This window comes from Homo sapiens, chromosome 8 (assembly GCF_000001405.40).
Source record: "Homo sapiens chromosome 8, GRCh38.p14 Primary Assembly".
NCBI classification, from domain to species: domain Eukaryota; kingdom Metazoa; phylum Chordata; class Mammalia; order Primates; family Hominidae; genus Homo; species Homo sapiens.
The window spans coordinates 100,069,136-100,091,143 of record NC_000008.11 but is presented as its reverse complement, the minus strand read 5'-3'; the positions used below and the strand labels follow the sequence as shown (position 1 = coordinate 100,091,143).

Here is a 22,008-nt window from a genome sequence, read left to right as displayed (position 1 = left end):
CTAAGTGTCTGGCAAAATTCTAGAACAGATTAGTAATGTTTGGTTTATGAGCACTTAGCTAAATATTAGAAGCCAGTATGGGTTTACTGAGAGTAAGTATGCCAAACTAATCTTTCTTTTTTTGGATAGTTATAGACTGGTATTTTAGGGAACCATAAATTAATGTATTATGATTTCAATAAAGTATTATAAAAATAATAAATTGAATCATGTTACTTCCTGCTCTGTTCAAAACCCTGTCTAGGGACTTCTCATTACACTAAGAATAAAATCCAGAATCCTATATGATCTGGCTCTTGCTATCTCTTGATCTTTATTTTCTACTTATTTTCTCTACTTACTTTCCAACCTGACTGACTTTCTTTATGCTTCTCAAACATGAATATGCCAGATATACTCAGGGTCTTTCTACCTGGCATGCTCTTCTCTGAGATACCTGTATCACTTTCTCCTTGACTTAAATCCCTTCTGTTTAGAAAGCCTTCCCTAACAACCCTATCTAAAATAACAACCTCAACACATGCTCCACTTATAGTGCTTTGTCTCCAAAGACCTTATCATTATCTGTGAAATTAGTTTTCAAGTATTTGAACTGGTTGACTAACCATAACCAGCAGGGGTTGATTTTTAATAACCTACAGATTGAATTCCAAATTTGCTAGTATACAATTCAAGACCCTTTGTAATTTGGCTTCAACTTAATCTTTCTACCTTTATATCTCATTTCACATTACTTTTGCCATCCTGCATACTCTTTCCTGCCTCCCCTAGCCCACCAATCCATCTTGACCACACTTATTCTTCCCATGCTCAAATCTCACCATGTAATTGTTGGTATTAGGAGTGAGAGAACTGTGTTTGATTCCAGCTTTTCCACTCTTACCAGCATGATCTTAGAAACCTTGCTTACTTAATTCCCCAATTTCTTTCTCTATGAAGACAATATGACTATCTTACAAAATTATTATCAAGTGAGGTAACGTATGTTAAGCGCCTGGCACAGGTTTAGTGCTTCACTTTTCTTTTCCTTCACTAATTAGACTATCTCGTCCTCCATTCCTGCAGCATAACAGGCAATCACTGTTTAATGGGATTGGTGGATGGTCAATATAGAGGATAATCTTATGTGCCAAACAAATCTGTCATTGGCTTTGCCTTTTTAACTGTTTTTATCAGGGACTTGGATGAAAAGTTGCAAGTTCCAGTATTAGGTCATGCATCTAGTAAATAATGGTCCACACAGGTTCAGATGGCTCAAAACTTTTGATTGTCCCATCATGCTATGATGTCTATAGAACTGGCAGCAGAGGAGTAAACTAATGATTTGGATAAGAGAATCTGGTCTTGTTTTTATCCCGATAGTGTGAAATGGACCAAAACAAACAAAGCTAATGTGGTTTTAGGGGTCATTAATAGAAATGTAGTCAAGATCAAGAAAAATATTAGTCTGGAGCACAGAAAGCACTCAATAAATGTTTCTTTGAATAGAGTTAAATTGTCAGACTGCACTTAGACCGTTGTGTTCCATTTTTGGTGCCATATGTTAAGAGTTGCTCTGCCAAACCAGACTCAGGGAGTCTTAGCCAATGATCACTCTGGAAACCATGTCAAATGAAGGGTTGAAAGAAGTTTGGTGTTTAACCTGGCTTGGGAATGGGTAGCAGGGGTGAAATGGAGTAGTCCCTTTCAAATATTTTATGATTTGATTGAGGAAGAAGGGTTAACGTATTCTGTGAAACTAGAGTGCAGAACCACGGCCAGCATTTATGAGAGAAATTGATTTGATTTTCACTCACCATAAGAAGGAACTTTAGAATTTGTTTTCTAACAATTAAATGGGCTGACTTGTGAAGGAGTAAACTTGGAGGTATTCAAGTAGAGGTTAGAAAATCATCTTATGAGAATATCGTGTGTGTGTGTGTGTGTGTGTGTTTGTGTGTGTGTGTATCTCGTGTATCTCTATTATGTATATATATCTATGGTGGAAGATTGGACTTTCTTGACCAGAGAAAATTTCCTTCTTCTCTGTTTATTTTATCTCAGGAGCTACATTGTAAATTTCCTGGGGGCAAGGACAGGTCTTTTCTGTATCTCCCAAAGATTCTTGATTATGATTCTGTTTTTATTTCAACATCTTCCATGTAAGATCCTTAATATAAACAAGTAAACCTTCTAATCTTTTCTCCTGCCTCCTTTCTTCACCCACCTCTACCCTCAGTCCCCACCAAAAGCAATAGCCTAAGCCCTAGAGTGTAGATATAGACTATAGGGCCCTTAGGTCATCTCTGAGATGACTTCTGAGACTTTTTCCCTATCTGTAATGACATGCCCAAGGTCCTATAACCGGATTGTGGTAGAAATGGGCCTAGGAATCAGGCATTCTGGCCCCTACACTATTTCTTTCCATTACACCATTATACCCTTGGGACACATTGTAAGATCCTGAAACTGGTGGCTGGTAGCCTGCCTCCATGTTATTTTTTGATGAGGGGAATTCAGGACAGTTGCTGCTATTATAAATGATTGCAGCACTTTCCAAATCCTAGCTTTCATAACTTCATTCCGTTTGTTCTTGTGCCAAGTTCACATTCAGATATTGTTTTCATTTGGTGTCTGGGAGGTTTTTTGCTGTCAACTCTTTATGGACAAGTGTTTGCTTATTAAGTTTTCTTCCGTGCTATAGTGTGAAAACATTTTTTTCCTTTTGGCTTTGTTTTGTGTGTTTTATGCTTAGTGACTGTTGTGGGATTGAGTAGATGAGCCCACGTAGATTTAGGTTGGTCCTCTGTGGGTGGTTTCAAATGTTTGTGACATTTATAGTTTGCAGAAGCTGAAGGGGTGGCCTGTTCTATACCCTCCTCGCAAGGATAGGTATGTCATGTGTTTGCCAGACCATGCTTAGTTATGTGCTGTTGAAATTTTACCATAACTTCTTTTTTTGGACTGATTCTCCACACTTTTTACAATCCGTAAACAGTTATAATTTCTTGCAGCTTTATGAAGGAGTTATATGCTAGATGGACTGTTGTGGGGGGCCAGTGGGGAGAAAGAGAGAGTATATTTTGGGGGAATGCATGGGATGAAGGGTTTGGGTCTTCTCTTGCCAAAATCTAAATACTCAGAAATTGATTTTTACAGGTGTTGATAAAGCTCTAGGAAACTGCTTAGTTCAGTGTTTGCACCTCTGGGTGTTTTGATAAGACTTGTAGCTCAAAAATACAGCACTCAAATTACCTAACTCATTTATTAACTAAGGATATTTTCTATACATTTTATGTGGCACATTATTCATTCCATCCCATTGGTGAATATATCTAGTAAACAGTTTATGGTTAAACATCTAAAATGACAATAAAGCTTAGATTAAAAGAAGTTGTTATTGGTAACTGACTTGTTACATTCAAGTAGTCAGATGTTTTCCATTCACTGACTAGGGATGCATGTTTAAAATACAGCTTTGGAGCTCAATTAGTAAAGACAGAGTTGGAGCAGAGATGAACATGTATTAAATTAACCTAGTCATTAGTTTTTAATTTAAATACTGTTCAGCTAAATAATTTGGCACCCGGTAAGTTTCACTGGTGCTGGGCTGGCAGTTTAAGTACGTCACTAATTATTCACAGGTTTTTTTTCTCTCCCCTTTTCAAAGAAATGTGGAACCAGCAATTTACTCTGGTAAAAATATTTTCATGCACTTGCTTTTTCTGTGAAAATATTTTTCACACATGGATGACTAGTACTACAAAGTTAGCTTTCACCACCTTCAGGTCAATTCGTTTTGGAATATTTGGAAAATGATATCCTTGAAATAAGAAAATTAAGTAAGGAAAAGAGCAGTCTGTAACAGCTTGTGGAGGATTGGGTTTGAGGCTCAAACTGAAGGTTTTTCCTGTTATATGATTTAAGGTTGAGCATTCTCTAAATCAGCCAACTTAGCATTTTGGAGAAAAGACTTTCTACATCATTCATTTCTGTCTCCCATACCCTATGTGTCTTGTATTGTTACTTACTAAACTATAGGAGTTTTATAGATAAGCTTAGAAATGGTTAAAACAAAGGACTTGATGTTTAAGAGAGCTTCTTTTTAAGCAAACAACAGGAATTTGGGTACTAATGAAAGACCAGGGCTCTTTCTCCTGGGTATCAAACACAGACGGCTGGCACCACCTCATATATGAATACCCATGAGAGTCAGCATGAAGTAACCAACAGAATGTGGCTTTGCAGTTTGTCTTCATCTGGATTCTGCCTCTCCTCAGCTAAAAACTCTTCAGTGGCTCCTCCTTGTTGTAAAGCAGTGATTCTTAAACATGTGCATGCGTTAGAATGATCAGAGGGCTTGTTAAAACTCAGAGTGCTGAGCTCCTTCCCCAGAGATTTTGTTATACGGAGGGGACCGATAAGTTGCTTATCTTTCTTTTTTCTTTTCAACTTTTATTTTAGATTCAGGGGTGTACATGTGCAGGTTTGTTACCTGGGTATATTGCGTCATGCTGAGCCTTAGGATATGAATGATCCTTCACCTAGGTACTGAGCATAGTACCCAGTAGTTTTTCAGCCCTTATCTCCATCCTTCCCTCTCCCATCTAGTTGTCCCCAGTGTCTATTGTTGCCATTTATGTCCATGAGCACTCGATGTTTAGTTCCCACTTATAAGTGAAAACATATGGTGTTTGGTTTTCTGTTCCTGTGTTAATTTGCTTAGGAGGGAATTTGCATTTCTAACAGGATCTCAGGTGATGGTGATATTGCTGATCTAGGAACCACCCTATGAGAATCATTGGTTCAACAGTGTAAGTTGAGAGTTACAGCATATGATAGTAGGTCCTCAACGAATTCATCCTTTCTCTCCAGTCTTATTTCTGCTATTCTCCCTTAAAATATTAAAGTTGAATATGTTTCACTGCTTGCAGTTCACCAAATGTAACCTATTATTTTGTGCTCTTGTATCTTTTATTTTTATTTTTAATTTTTGTGGGTACATGGTAGGTGTCATGCTCCTTTATCTTGATGCATTGGCTATTACTTTTGTGAATTCACCTCTTCCCCCTCTTCTCCCTTGTCTACCTGACATTGCCTGTTCATTCTTAAAATTCAGCTCTAGCAGCCCACTTTCCCTATACATCTTCCTTAATTTCCAGAATATATTAATAGTTAATGAATCCTTCTGTGCCATCACATTACTTTGTATGTTCTTCTATTGTGCTTGTTCTGTGTTAAACTGGAGTTCAATATACATCCATTCTTATTCAAATTGAGCTACTCATGTTCTGCAGAGAGAGTGAGGTTTAAAGAGTGACATGAAGAGTGATTTAAAGAGTCACAATGATTTTGTCTGTTGTACCAATCTATGTGTATGTGCCCTGTAGAGGGTGTGAGATGGAAGATGAGAAACTGCCATTCCATCAATGAGTGTCATCCTTCCTGCCTCTTACAGTATGTTGTCATATCATCATGCTAAGGGTGATTCTAGTGTTAAACATACACATTTTGTGTACAGCATGAGCTTTAAACACAAGTCCATCCCTTCATCCAGTCCCTAACTGAAGAATCAGTGACTCATTTCAATCCAGAGGAACAACTGACTCATGAACTTTTTGAGAACATTGTTGAAGACAACTTTATGGATGTTTTCAAGATTTCAAGGGATAATCTTGACTAAATATGATTTCACCTTATGTGCTGACTTTCATATCCCTTCCCCTCATAGGATGGGTCTTTATTGCCTATTTATGTTTACTTATCTGTCTTCCTCTGCTGGATAATGTGTGCTCTGAGGCAGGATCTGTGTCTTTTTCATTTCATTTGGGGCCTTGTGGAGGATGCCCTGTATTGGCTCACTCAATATATTAAATAGGATATTATGATAATAATAATTAAATACTTATTGAATAAATGAATGAGCTAACAAAGGAATAGTGGGGCTGAGTGATCTTACTAAAGAGCAGAAGATATAGACTTTTTTCCTGGAACGTCCATCATGGACTGATGGAGTATCAAACATGGAAAGCACCTTCGGTTTATCTAGTTACAACTTCTTTTTACTGATATGTCTCAGAAAGGCAAAGTGATTTGCCCAACATTTCTTCCATTTTTAATCATTCTGCTTATGTTTCTCTGGGTAGTTTCTAGTTTAGCCAAATCCCTTTTAAAGTGTGATAACCAGACCAGACATAATATTCTAGTATTACTACCCTTGTCACTGGGGACATATTTGCCCTTGGCATTTGCATTTACACAAGTTTTAATTTATTTCGGTATTTTGTTTACTCTTTATCATAGACAAAAATGAAAGATCATGTACTTGTTCCTTCAAGGGCAGAAATAATGTTTTATTCATCTTTGTATCCTCTAGGTTTAGGGCAATAATTGGCACTTGGTAATTCAAACATTTTGCTATTGGTAAAATGAATTACTGAGAGAAGCTTTGAAACAGTTGTTTGCCACTTTTATCATCTTAGAATCATAGTGCTTTTAAGGACCTTCCAGGATCTAAGCTAATGCGTGGCTTTTCAAATACAAAAACACTGATTTACCCCTGGAAAGATCTCTGTTCTATTATAATTAATTCCATAGAAAGAAATTCTTAAGTTTAAAAGTATAAACATTTTTACATATACATTCACATTTCTTTTTTTATAATAAATAGAAACATTGCATGCCATTTTATTATAAACATAATTCCAATTTTCCTTTTGTTGTTTTTACTGTGCTGTTTCTGTAAAGCACTTCTTTTTGACCAGTTCCTCTCCTCACTTTCATGCTTACATACACTTTCTTCCTCAGAATGGATACACTGCCTTTTTCCCTACTAGGTCCATTCAGAATTCAAGTATTTTTGTAAGTGCATACGAGTAGCACAACCTAAAGCACACATGAAATCGTAGCTGTAGGGAGTCTGAGAAATAAAGTTTTTACTTTTCCAGGCTTTGCATTTTAGGAGGTTGGAATGGATTCTGAGTGAGCCAGTCCACAGCATCCACAGTAAGCCTTAACTAAAATTATGTGGCCGGGCGTGGTGGCTCACGCCTGTAATCCCAGCACTTTGGGAGGCCAAGGTGGACGGATCATGAGGTCAAGAGATCAAGAACATCCTGGCCAACATGGTGAAACCCCGTCTCTACTAAAAAATAGAAAAATTAGTTGGGCGTCGTGGCGCCCAGCTACTTGGGAGGCTGAGGCAGGAGAATCCCTTGAACTCGGGAGGCGGAGGTTGCAGTGAGCCAAGATCGCGCCACTGCACTCCATCCAGCCTGGCGACAGAGCAAGACTCTGTCTCAGAAAAAACAAAAAACAAAAAAAAAAAAAAAAAAGAAAAGAAATTACGCGGTCAGTTCTAGGTTTAAAGCAGTTGCATAGTGATAACTCCAGAGTTGTGTTGTAAGCTCATTAGGGGACTTGCTGTAAAGCCATGAAGAGTTCATTTAGGCTTTCTCAGCTGTAGTTTTGCTTTTTATGTAAATATAAAAGTAATTGTTGGCTGGGCACAGTGGCTTATGCCTGTAATCCCAGCACTTTGAGAGGCCAAGGTGGGTGGATCACGAGGTCAAGAGATTGAGACCATCCTGGCCAACATGGTGAAACCCCATTTCTACTAAAAATACAAAAATTAGCTTGGCATGGTGGTGTGTGCCTGTAGTCCCAGCTACTCAGGAGGCTGAGGCAAGAGAATCGCTTGAACCCAGGAGGCAGAGGTTGCAGTGAGCCGAGATCACGCCACTGCACTCCAGCCTGAGGACAGAGCAAGACTCAGTCTCAAAAAAAACCAAAAGTAATTGTTAACTACCTGCTTTAAATACTGCCCTGGCCTCTGCATGTGACGGGGACAGTATCCCATCCAGAGAGTTAGTAATTTTTACATAAAACCTGGTCGCGATGTGATAGCAGTAGCTCTGAGATAACAGCCAGTCTCCCCAGAGTGTGGTGATGGTTCTGCTTCTGTAATGTGAGCAGCCAACCCCACCAGCTCATGAGCTGACAAGCAACCATTACATCTTCCAGACTGCTCCAGAACCTTTCTAAAACACAAATTAGAAGTAACTATTTACTTTCCTACTTAGGGTGTTCATGTGCCTCCCTGTTTCCTAGAGGGTTAAGATAAAGCCCGTACTTGTTAAAATGGCATGCAAAGCCTTTCATGATCTGGTTATACTATGTTATCTACTTCAAGTCTTTTTTCTTTGTTCCTTAAACTATTCCAACTACGGCTATTCTTGTTCTAATCCAGCTGCGTAGAGTTACCCACATACACCATGTTGCTTCATGCCTCTGTGCCTTTACTAGTAAAACCAGGGTAGATAAGAGTATGGGCTTTGGAATCAAAATGCTTTGTTTGAATCACAGCTACCCTAACTTCATAGGATTATTGCTTAGCAAAGAACTTGGTGTAGAGAAGTGGTCAGTACACACTAGTTTTGTCATACGTGAGGCAGTGTATTAAAGAGGAAATGTTCTGTCTTTGGGACCAGACAGACTTGTTTCCATAACCCTGATTGTCTAGCACTTTATAGCTCTGAGTCCATGGACCACCACTTAGCCATCCCTACCATCAGTTTTTTGTAAAGAGCTATGTCAGGAATGTGGAAGGATTCAAGAGAGGGCTTTTAAAGTGTCCATCACGACCTTTAACCCAAGGGAATTAATGCAGGAACAGAAAACCAAATACCACATGTTCTCACTTATCTGTAGGAGCTAAACATTGAGCACACATGGACACGAAGGGAGCAATAGACCTACTATTGTAGGGGCCTACTTGAGGATGGAGAGTGGAGGGAGGGTGAAGATTGAAAAACTACCTATTGAGTGTTATGCTGCTTACCTGGGTGACAAAATTATCTGTATGCCAAACCCCTGCAACATGCAATTTACCCATGTAACAAACCTGCACATGTACCCCTTAAACCTAAAATAAAAGTTGGAAAGAAAAAAAATAAAGTGTCCATCACACACCTATCACATGATAGACATTCAGTAAATAGTCCTTATCATCTTCGTTATTTCTGCCAACTATACCGTAACTACTCACTACTACTAAGTAAGATTGATTACTAGGGTCTTGGAGTATCAATAGCCCCTCCTAATTTTTTTACTTGAGCACTTTTTACTTGATTAGTAGGAAATGTTTTATTTATCCATTGAACTAACTAGTTAACATTCTTTGCGTTGGATTATCACAGCTTTCTGTTCCTCTGGCTACCAGGTCAGAGGGTAGGAGGCAAAAAAAAAAAAAAAAAAGGAAAACAATAAAAGTCAAACTTGTTCTCTTGTTCCATGGATACTCAGAACTAGAAGAAATGTTTTCCAGATGGTCTTTCACTTTATACAGCTTAGTTTCTCCTACTCCCATTAATATTTGATGTCATTCTCTACCAAGTTTAATTAATTTCCTATCTCCAGATAAATCTAATCTGCGATATCAGCAGACTCTTTTTTCTCTTTAGTTAAGTGATAGCATAGTTTAGGGATGGTATTTATGTCATTTAGGTAAATGGTGCCTGTTTGAATCCCATGTTTGAAAGACAGATGCAGTGGGCAACTAATGAAATATATCTATTGAAGAAATTTTATATGTAATTTATGGCTAATTCTTTCTTACTCATTGAGCAATACTTATCATTTTGGGAGAAACTCTTAGTCCTAAGGCTTTTGAGACTGTGGACTGACATTCATCTTGAACCGTATCATCCATGTACTTTAAATTCCTCAGAAGGGGAGACAGTCAGACCTTAGAGATGTGATATTATGAGACATTAAAATTTAAATATATATATATATATATATACATACACGCACACATATATACACATACTTCTAGTTCCAATTTTACTGTGAAATTCTGCCACTTTTTAAATTATGACTATAGTATATCTAGCAATCCCTTAGTAAAACTTGAATTAATGTTCTACTTAGAACACTTACTGATCCAAGGGGAAGAATTTAATTTCTTCTACCACTCGCCTAAGCATGTATAAGTTAATCTACATGAGTAGTCAGTTCACTGAAGGCACCCTAAAATAAATGAATATTCTGAAAAAGGGACCTGATTCTAGATTTGGAAGACAAATGGGAAAAGACATGGCCAATTCACCATTTACTTCTTACGGAAGTGGAGGCCCCAAAAATGTTCAGTGATTTACCTAGAGTCACAGAGGTACTTATTGGCAAGCTGGCATTCAAACTCAAGACTCCTGACTATTGTATATCAACTGACTGGCTTTAAATAAAAGTTGGCAGCATTTAGAATTACTGATAAAAACCTCAGAAATGTTATTTTCTTCTCTCTTTTTTTGTCACAGTGCAAAGGATGGTGTTGAAATAGTCTTAACTGAAGAACATATTGTACTTAAATTTCTCCTTTTGGACAAGGGAGATTGTTAGCCTTCATGGCTCCTAAGGATGAAAGACAATGGGAGCATTATTTCTTCCTTTACTCATTCTTCCCTAGTGATCCACCCCCTTCTAAGAGAATAACATTGCTTTGTAGAGCCAGGTATATATTTCTCTCCAGTTTCAAATAATCACAGACTTAAGATGTTTATACAAAGGGAATTTCTGCCATAGCATACCCTGACACTTACTCGTGGCATAAGTGCATTGGCAAGGAAGAGTTTAGTGGGTTCCCTGACCTCTACCCAAGGGATTTCCTAGCTCCTAAAAAGGAAGAGGGAATGATTACAAACACAGAACTCTGTGAGGTATGCATGCATGTATGTAAACCACAAGTCTTCTTAGAGACCATGAGTTTCCAGGTTTAAAAAATGTTTTAATTTCCACAAATTTATATTGCAGACCTTTTCAGAGGCAATTAGATTTAATGCAGATTATGGAGTTTTTGAAGTAGCTAATGATGCTCCACAATTTCTGGAAAAACAACTGAAAAAAATTCTACAAAACCAGCAACCTCGAAATCCCATTTATGATGTTGTAAGGAAAGGAAAGAATGAGGTTAAACCTGTTCAAATGAATGCCCCCGATGAAGATGAGACCATTAATGTCAACTACAATATTATGGTAAGAAAGTATACTGTTTTATCTTGTTAGATAGATAAAGCATTTGGTGAAATTAACATGAGTTTACTTAGGCTTCCCTTTTTGAAGTGTAGCTACATTTATTAGCTTGTGTTGTACGTACACATAGTATTTGTTAAGCACTTTTCAAATCCAATGGCCAGTTCAGCAGTTTTGTTGATGTTCACTTATCAATTTGAGAAGATTCATATAATTTACCTTGAATATTTGAATATTAGGTTAGTTTTGAGTCATATAAATATAAGTGTCCTTTATAATTTTGATGCGTTATTGAAAATGTGGATATATAGGCAATGTATTTCATTTGGGTTTTGAACCAATCCTATCAAGCAGTTGGGAATTGAGACTTCTGACCCTCAAGTTGCATTGTGTGGCTCTGACCTCCCTGGCCTTAAATTTCATTTTCAGCTTCTGGATTTTGTCTCCTTAGCATGAGGTTGGAAAACCTGGGTTCTAATATTGGCTCCTCTGCTTACTGACTCTGTGTACAAGTCACTTTGATGAATCTGATTTTCATCATCTGTCAAATGATGCCTTTACTACCTACTACTTAGGTTTCTTGTGTGGATGAAATGAAAATAATAATGAATGTTTAACAATACTATTTCACATTGATTCAAAATGTCTAGTATAACCAGGCTAAAGTATGTCTAACATTTAAGACATAGATCTACTCTAGCCTGAAAGTTCTTCAATTCTTCTGTTACTGAATTCAAATAGTATCTATCTTTAACTTTCACCAAATAGTTTCTATCTTTAACTTTCATCAAACTAAATGCTAATAGTTTCTATCTTTAACTTTCATCAAACTAAATGCTAATAGTAATAACCATGTTACAACATTGTTTCGAAGCCAGAACAAGGATATATATTCTGCGCTACACAGTACTATATAATTGTTAGTTTAAAAATTTTTTACTAGGTGGGACAATGTTTATTGTTTTATTCACTTCCTTCAGTGAATAGAAATTTTTGATTGTATGGAGGTCTTTATAGCCTATTTATTTATTGTTAAACAAAAGCTATTTAGGAGATTCTTGAGTTATGTGCTTTGGCACAAGTTTCTCAAAAAGATCTGGATGATCTTATTTGATATATTTGAAGATAGACTGATTAATTAAGCATGTCTATTATAAAACTAGAGCAGCAATTTAGAAGTTTTTAGAAAGAGGCATAAGTAATGAGAACAGGCCAGCTGCAATGGCTCACACCTATAATCCCAGCACTTTGGGAAGCCAAGGCAGGTGGATTGCCTGAGCTCAGCAGTTAGAGACCAGTCTGGGCAACATGGCGAAACACTATCTCTACAAAAAATACAAAAATTAGCCAGGCATGGTGGCGTACACTTGTAGTCCCAGCTACCCAGGAGGCTGAGGTAGGAGGATCACCTAAGCCTGGAGAGGTTAAGGCTGCAGTGAGCTGTGATCACACCACTGCATTCCAGTCTAGCCAACAGAGTGAGACCCTGTTTCAAAAATAAAATAAAAATAAATAAAAATAAAAACAATAGTGGAGATCAAAGGAATTAAAAAGTACTAAATGGAAAGCAGACAGAAAATGAGGAAAAAACAGACAAAGAACATATGGGACACATAAAGAATAAAACAACTAGGAAAATGGTAGTAGTGATTTTAAACAAACCATATCAATAATTAGTATCACATTAATCATATAATATATATGATTAATAATATAATATAATTAATCATATTGAGTTGTCATGATGTCTCATTCGTTTGATTCCAGAGCTTTAGGAGGCTGAGGCAGGAGGATCACTTGAGCCCAGGAGTTTGAGGCTGCAGTAAGCTATGATGGTGCCACTGCACTCCAGCCTGGGTGACAGAGTGAGGCCTCATTTCTAAAAATAATGATAATAATAATATACATCAATAATTACATGATATTTAAATGGCGTAAGCACCCCAAGTAAAAGCCAGAGTCAGGGATGATTTTTTAAAAAAATCCCAATTATTTGCTGTCTACAAGAAACTAACCTTAAAAATGAGACATAAATAGGTTAGAAGTAAAAAGGATATTAAAAGGTATACTATGCAATTATGAATTAAAGGAAAGCTGGAGTGACTATATTGATATCTGGCAAAGCACCCCTCAGAACAAGGAATCTTACTATGGATAAAGAGGAACATTACATAATGATAAAGGGGGGAGGGTCAATTCACCAAGAAAGCTTAACAACTCATATATGCACCGAACAACAGAGGTTCAGAGTACATGATGCAAAAGCTGATAGAAATGAAAGGAGAAATAGATAAATTTATAGTTATAGTTGGAGACTAAAGCACTGCTCTCTCAGTAACTGATAGAAAAGATAGCAGATCAGTAAGGAAATGGAAGTTCTGAAAAACACTAGCAACCAAGTAAATCTAATTGATCTTTACAGAACACTTTATCCCACAACAGTAAAGTATACATTTTTTTCTCTAGTGCACTGGGAATATTTACCAAAATAGACCACATTTTGGGCCATAAAATAAATTTCAGCAAACTTAAAAGATTTGAAATCTTGCCAACTATGTTCTCAGACCACTTCAGAATTAAACTATAAATCGGTAACAAAATCCTTAAATACTTAATTACATAACATACTCCTAAATAATTCATAGGTCAAAGACTAAGTCCCAAGGGAAATTAAAAATTATGTTGAATTGAATAAAAACTAAAGCATAACATATCAAAATTTGTGGGATGCAACTAAATTGGTCTTTACAGGGAAATTTGTACCATTAAGTGCTTATAATAGAGAAGACTAAATAAATCTATGATCTACTTGTCACTATGAGAAACTAGAAAAATTAAGTTAAAATTAAACCAAAAATAAAGAAATAAAGAACAGAATCAATGAAATTGAAAACAGAAAAACAAGAGAGAAAAATCCATGAAAATAAAGCCTTGTTTTTTGAAAAAATCAATGAAATTGATAACCTTTTAGCCAGAATGATGAAGAAAAAGAGAAAGATATACATGCCCAATATCAGAAATGAAAAGGGGATGTCATTACAAATTTTACAGGCAGTTAAAAAAAATAAGAGAATTTTACAAACAACTTTATGTCTATAAGCTCATGGAATTTAAATGAAATAGACTTTTTTTTTCTTTTTTTTTGAGACAGGGTCTCGCTCTGATGCCCTGGCTGGAGTGCAGTGGGGCGATCTCAGCTCACTGCACTCTCCGCCTCCCAGGTTCAAGCGATTCTCCTGCCTCAGCCTTCCAGGTAGCTGAGATTACAGGCATATGCCACCATGCACAGATACTTTTTGCATTTTTAGTAGAGATGGGGTTTTGCCATGTCGGCCAGGCTGCTCTCGAACTCCTGGCCTCAAGTGATCCGCCTGCCTCGGCCTCCCAAAGTGCTGGGATTACAGGGATGAACCACCGTGCCCGGCCCACATATTTCTTAAAAGGCACAAATTATCAATGGTCACTGAAGGGGATATAGATAATCTGAATAGTCCTACATCTATTACAGAAGTTGGATTCACAGTTTAAAATCGTGCCACAAAGACAACTCCAGGCCCAGATGGCTTCACTGGTTAATTCTGTCAAACACTTAAAAGTGAAGTAAACTTGAATTTATAAAAACTTATACAAAAAACAAAAGAAATCAATTTTTAATTCATTTAATGAGATGAGCATTACACTGATGCCAAAACTAAATGAAGGAATTTGAAGGAAAATAAAAACCTACAACTTAACATCACTCATGAACACAGACCACAAAAATCCTCAAAAAATCAGCAAATTAAATCCAGCAATGCAAAAAAGATAATTCTATTTAAGAAGATAATACAGGTGTAAATCTTCATAACCTTGGATTATGCATTGGTTTTGTTAGATATGACACCAAATGCACAAGGAAAAAAAGATAAATCAAAATGCAAAACTTTCACGCTCTAAAGGACACTACCAAGAAAGTAAAAAGACAACCCACAGAATGAGAGAAAATATTTGCAAATCATATATTTTATAAGGATGTGTATCTAAACTATAAAAATAACTCTTAAAACTCAAAAATAAAAAGACAAATAACCCAATTAAAAAATGTGCAAAGGGTTTAGAATAGACATTTCTCCAAATAAGATAAACAATAAGCACATGAAAAGATTTTCAACATCATTAGTCATAAGGGAAATGGAATCAAAATCACAGTGGGACACTACTTCACACCCAACACGATGGCTATGATTAAAAAAAAAAGGGCAAATAATAACAAACGTTTGTGAGGATTTGAAGTGATTAGAACCTTCATACACTGCTGCTGCAATTGTAAGACAGTACAGCTACTTTGGAAAATATTAGGCAGTTCTTAAGAGGTTAGCCCAAGAGTTATCAAATTACCCAGAAATGCCACTTCTAGGTATATACTCAAGAGTATTGAAAACATATGTTCACACAAAAACTTATATACAAATGTTCATAGCAGCATCATTCATAATAGCCAAAAAGTGGAAGCAACCCAAAAGTCCATTCTCATTGGTGAGAATTCCATTTTGGAAAACAGTTTGGCACTTCTTTCCAAGTTAAACATATACCATACCATCTATAGTCCATTTGTGTTGCTATAAAGGAATACTCAAAACCAGGTAATTTGTAAAGAAAGAGGTTTATTTGGCTTATGGTTCTATAGACTGTATAAGAAGCATGGCACTAGCATCTGCTTCTGGTGAGGGCCTCAGGAAGCTCCCACTCATGGTGGAAGACAAAGAGGGAGCAGGAATATCACATGGCAAGAGAGGTAGCAAGGGAGAGAGTAGGGAGGCACCAGGCTCTTTAAACAACCAGGTCTCACCTGAACTAACAGTGAGAACTCACTTATTACCATGAGGAGGACACCAAGACATTCATGAGGGATTCGCTCCCATGACCAAGACATCTCTCCCACTAGGCCCTACCTCCAGCATTGGGGATCACATTCAGTATGAGATTTGGAGGAGGCAAATATCCATACCATATCACTGCCCATCTATCCTACTCCTGAGTATTACCCAAAAGAAATGAAAAGTTATACTCACACAAAAACCTGCATGCGGCCAGGCGCGGTGGCTCACACCTGTAATCCCAGCACTTTGAGAGGCCGAGACGGCTGGATCATGAGGTCAGGAGATCGAGACCATCCTGGCTAACATGGTGAAACTCCGTCTCTACCAAAAATACAAAAAAAAATTAGCCGGGCGTGGTGGTGGGTGCCTGTGGTCCCAGCTACTCGGCAGGCTGAGGCAGGAGAATGGCGTGAACCTGGGAGGCAGAACTTGCAGTGAGCCGAGATCACGCCACTGCCCTCCAGCCTGGGCGATAGAGCGAGACTCCATCTCAAAAAAAACCACAAAAAACAAAAAACAAAAAAAAAACAAAAAAGAAACCCTGCATGTAAACGTCTATAGTTGCTTTATTCATGATCACAAAAGCTGAAAGTTATCCAGATTCCTTTAACTGGGGAATGGATAAACAAACTGTGGTATATCCATACAGTGGAATATTACTCAGCAACAAAAAAGAATGAAGTATTTATACATGAAAGAACATAGATAAATCTTAAATGCTTTATGCTGAATGAAAGATACTAGAATCAAAAGTACATACTATATTGATTCCATTTATATGACATTCTGGAAAAGGCAAAACTACGGAACAGATCAGTGGTTGCCAGAGCCTAGGGTTGGAGGGAGTTGCTGACTACAAAGTGGCATGAGGACATTTGGAGGGTGTTGGAACTATTCTGTATCTTGATTGTAGTCCTGGTTACATGATTATATGCATTTGTCAAAACTTGTAGAACTGTATTAAAAAGGGTGGATTTCACTGTATGTAATTTATACCTCAATAAATCTAACCAATAAGATCTATTGGCTGATAACGATGCTTTGTTTGCCTTGTACATCTAAATATAATTTTTTATTAATCCAATTCTGTAGGCATTTTAGACAGCTTGTGTATGGCTATTTGGAAATGGTTCTGTATTGATTTACCTAAAGCCATCTTCCCTTAACCTTCTGGTCATCCCTTTTTGTTTCTTAACCAACTTAAAGAAATTTTTTTAAGGTTTAAATAATTTCACCTTAGATAGATTCTTTTTGTGTTTCTTATAAGTATTTATTAAGTTATTTTATGGTTGATCAGGATTGTCTTGTATGTTTTTGGTCTTTGTATTTAGTTACTTTTTAAAACCATGAAGAGTTTTGTTTTCAGCTTGGCTAAAGACTTTTCTTCAATTTTTTATTTTATTCTTTTTAAACTTTTTAATTCATTTTATTTTTAGGTCACATAGGTACAAAAACACTCAAAAGAGGATGAATTATAGGTAAACTGTTTACTAGCTGAATATTCAGCAAATTGGTTTTGAATGAACTGACTAGTTTGACAACCTTATAGAATTCTTTAAGGGTTTATGTGGATCTTTATATGTAGTTTGGTATCTTTCTGTGATACATTGAATGTAGCGCTAGTGGGCGTTCAGGAGTCCTGCATGCTTGTCAGTGTGTAGCCTATGCAGAGTCTTTCTAACTACAAGATCCAAATGTCCTTCAGATCTCACTGATAAGCAGTGAGACTGTCAACAAGGTGCTGCTGATTAGGTGCTGGCTATTTCCATGGTTTTCTTCTATTCTTTCATTATGCAGAAGATAGTGTTTGGTGAAGGCAAATACATGTTTTTTTTGTTTTTTTTTTTTGTTTTGTTTTTTGCTGATTAGAAGGAAACTATTTTATGTTCCAATCCTGAATGCCTAAAGACTTCTGCGCGTATCAGCAATGATGAGCACACATCACCCTCATGAGCATCAGCACATTGGATGTCGGCAACACTCTGTATGGACATTCAATTTCCTCACTAGAGTTTGTAATGGTCTATGTGTTAACTCTTATGCAATATCATAGCAAAACTATCACCTTAGATTGTCCATGGAAGCCACATAAATGCAAATACATTTACCTCACTGAGATTGTTTTATTTATTAGTAACATATGTTTTGTGTCCAAGGTACTGATATTATTTAGAATTCTAGAAAAAGTGAATACAAGAAAAAGTAGAATCAAGAGTGAGTAAGTATTTTAGGATGAACAACAGTAACTCTTCAGTAATTCTGTATTGCTCTCACAACCTCAAGATAAAATCTATACTCCTTAATGTTATTTAAAAGGCTATTTGCAATCATGACCCTTTCTACCTCTCCAACCTTTCTCTCTCTCATCCTGTGACCTAATACTGCTACACTTATGGTTTGTCTCCTCTTTTGCTTCCCTGCTCAACCTAGCTAGCTTTGCTTCGGGTCAGAGAGTGAAGTGCGTGTTCTGTGGGAAACCTCTCCTAAGTTGAGTGTCTCTGTAGGCTCCCACAGAAGCCTACACTGTAGTATTTGTAACACTCTACTATCATTGTTAACTTTTGTATCAGTAAGAGAGCGCCTGGAGATGTTAAATAGTTAAAACATTTTTTTAAACTTGAAGAACAAGGGGCCTGCAGTGACTTTGGTGGCCTTACCAAGTTTTCTTGGTGGTTCTTTTTCTGTTTGTGATTATTTTTAACCCATTTTATGACTGTGAAAATACTGAGATGCATTGGCTTTTTTTCCCTCATTCTCCCTCCTTCAACAAGTTACTTAACTTCTCTGGATTCGATTTGTTAATCTGTAAAAATTGAAATAACATATAGTTAATATAGGATTGTTAAGAGAATTAAAAACGTACCAGGGGCAAGAAGTGCCTCACATTTGTGGCTCAGGTTTATTGATCTCTCTAGTGGAAATAGAAGACCTAGGGGTAGGGCTCCTGCTGACAGCTGGAGGTCATTATTGCTCTCACTATTAGGTGTTAATCATCCTAAAAGTGATTTTCTCTGACCTTCTTTTTCTTTTTCTCTTTCTTCTCATAGTGTCTCAGTCGTGAAGAAGGTATTAAGTGGATCAAAAAAGAAAGACTTCCAGCATTTCTGGAAAGTGATTGTTACTTTGAATACAGGTACTATAGTCCCATCAATATATGTATTTTTAAATACATATATATTAGCCTCCCAATTTGCTAGGACTACAGCTGTATGCCACCATGTGTGGCAAATCTTTTAAATTCTTTGTAGAGTCAGGGTCTTGCTATATTGCCCAGGCTGGTCTCGAACTCCTGGCTTCAAGAGAGCCTCCTGCCTTGGCCTCCCAAAACCTGGGATTACAGGCGTGAGCCTCTCCAACCAGCCATATTTTAAAAATTATCTATTGGTGATAATGGTATTTAGGTGCAGGGCGTTTAACAATGAATACTAGTGTGACGCGAAAAACATAGAATGCCGTAGTCCAGAGCCAAGTTTTTCCTTTATGTTCCCTGACTTTTAACATGTAAGAACCTAAAATTTGACCTCTGAACAACAATTTTTAAGTCAAAATCAATTAAAATGAATAATTATTAACTAATTAGTAGTTTTATGAATAAGCTATTAATTTTAGCAGAGCCAAAGAAAATCATCATCAAGAGTGAGGAGAGGAGATTGGCTTGAATACATAAAATTTTAGGTTTTTTCCCTGAATTCTGCCATATTTGAAACTTGTTTTAAATTTGTATGATTTCTAAAATGCAGGTTAGCCAAATTGGTCTCACAAGTAAGATGGAGCAAGTCCGGCATGAATTTCACAGTAGGATCAAATTTTTCTCCCTGGATCGTGAAAAAACCACCCAGTCTACCACCTCCTGCCACTGAAGAAGATAATCTTGTAATTATGAAAAAGTTCTATGTATCACTTGGTGAGGTAAAAGTATGAGCATTTTTTCATGACTTAGCGCTTCACTAACACTTCTGATTTTATTTTTTATTTTATACATATATTTTTTGAGACAGGATCTCACTCTGTCACCAGGCTGGAGTGCAGTGATATGATCATGGCTCACTGCAGCCTCCATCTCCCGGGCTCAGCTGATCCTCCCATCTCAGCCTCCTGAGTAGCTGGGACTACAGGCATGCATCACCACACCTGGCTAACTTTTTTTTTGCATTTTTTGTAGAGACGGGGTATTACCATGTAGCCCAGGCTGGTCTCGAACTCCTAGGCTCAAGGAATCCACTCACCTCCGCCTCCCAAAGTGCTGGGATTACAGGCGTAAGCTACCACGCCTGGCCAGAATTTCTCATTTAAAGCATTTGTATTACCTGAACAGAAAAAATGATTTCAAATACATGTAAAGCAGATTTAGCAATACTTCTTATAGATTTATGCTAACTAATTTGCTCTGCTCTCTTTTTTTTTTGGTATTCACCTCTGCCTCCCAAAGTGCTGGGATTACAGGCGTAAGCTACCACACCTGGCCAGAACTTCTCATTTTAAGGCATTAGTATTACCTGAACAGAAAAAATGATTTCAAATACATGTAAAGCAGATTTAGCAATAATTCTTGTAGATTTATGCTAACTAATTTGCTCTGCTCTCTTTTTTTTGGCATAACTACATATGATTTAATAACACATTATACACCATTAAATACTAAAACAATACAAAAAACCCACAATTATAAATTTCAACAAGAAATAACATAGCTATAATGACATATACCCAAAACCCAGGAAAACAGTGTTCCTTAATTTGGTCAGAAATCTCTATGAAGCTGAAATTAACTGTCCGAGAAAAAACTGAAAGTAGAGTTCTTGATAGTAAAGACAATACATTTCAGTCTTGACCCTTCATATTGGTCACACCATTGTCCCTTGATCTCAAATAGTTTTTTGAAATTAGGCTTTTTCGTTATATTTTTCATACTCAAAGATCTGAAACATCTTATTAAAATTTCTCAATTTTTTCTATTTAACATTTTCTCAATATGTCTAGAAGAGTGAGAGCAAAGGATTGATAAAAATTTTACATTCACAGTGCTATTTTAAAAATCTTATGTTCTCATTTGTTTTAAATTCTCAACTTAGCAGTCTCCACACTGTTATCCTGCTCTTTTCCCCTGGAAACCTAAAAAGAACTCTGAGATGTTAAAATTGTAAATAAATCTCTTATTTAGAGAATTTCTTGAATATTTATCACTTAGATTCGTTATTTTTCTTAGTTGACTCTCCTAGTTTTGTTTTGTTTTTTTTTTTTTTTTTTTTTGAGACAGAGTCTTGCTCTGTCACCCAGGCTGGAGTGCAGTGGCATGATCTCTGCTCACTGCAACCTCCACCTCCAGGATTCAAGCAATTCTCCTGCCTCAGCCTTCCGAGTAGCTGGGATTACAGGCACGTGCCACCACGCCTGGCTAATTCTTGTATTTTTAGTAGAGATGGGGTTTCACCATGTTGGTCAGGCTGGTCGATCACGAGGTCAGGTGCTCTGCTCCCTTTAATTTGAAATGTAGTTAGAAATATTATCCTCGTGTCTGAAGAGACAAAGGCAAGGTTGAAGAACATGCTGTGTCACCTGGGAAGCAAGAGTAACTTGAATTATATCCATGGTTTCATTGTTCATTCCAAAATTGCTATAATTTGGATTCATTTCTTTTGTACAAAAAGATAAATTGAGTCTTTTCCTTCCTGTTCTCTAGGTTATTCCTTAGTAGTAAAATGTGTTATTGTTTAGTTGTTATCAAATACATTTGTCCTCCATGATTAGAGAAATGTGAGGTTGTATGAGAGCATTTGAAGAGATTTAACCTAGAATCAAATGTCCTTTTGGAGAGTCATAATGTAGTGAGAACTGTTATTTGATCTTTGGCCTCTAATTGTTAGATCTTATCTCTGGAACTATACTTCTAATACACAATTCTATACAAAATCAGGAATGGCATCTATGTAGCCCTTGTGCTGCTACTCCCTATGACAGATATTGTTAATCAATTGTGGAAATTTTTTCTGCTGAGCTAGGATTTGGCTCCAGATTCTTTACAACACAGCATTCTGGATAGGCACTTCCAAACTTGCAAATAAGGCACTTTCAGTTGATCAAAATTATCATACAAGAGGAAGCCTCTTTGCTTTCTGTGTTGGAATAGATAGGCTAAGGTTAC

General features: G+C 36.9%; 1 protein-coding gene across 13 annotated transcripts in view; it reads left to right on the top strand.

The window, feature by feature from the left end:
* The window catches only part of RGS22 (regulator of G protein signaling 22), a 145,114-nt gene that overhangs the window by 14,906 nt on the left and 108,200 nt on the right, over positions 1-22,008 (top strand). For 11 of the 13 annotated variants that reach the window (XM_017013310.3, XM_017013309.3, XM_005250856.4 and 8 more), the window contains exons 4-6: positions 10,789-11,010; positions 18,914-18,999; positions 19,607-19,775. In XM_017013310.3, coding sequence (XP_016868799.1) covers positions 10,789-11,010; positions 18,914-18,999; positions 19,607-19,775 — 477 coding nt within the window. The remainder of the gene's footprint in view (positions 1-10,788; positions 11,011-18,913; positions 19,000-19,606; positions 19,776-22,008) is intronic. The other 2 variants (NM_001286692.2, NM_001286693.2) reach the window with 2 other exon arrangements.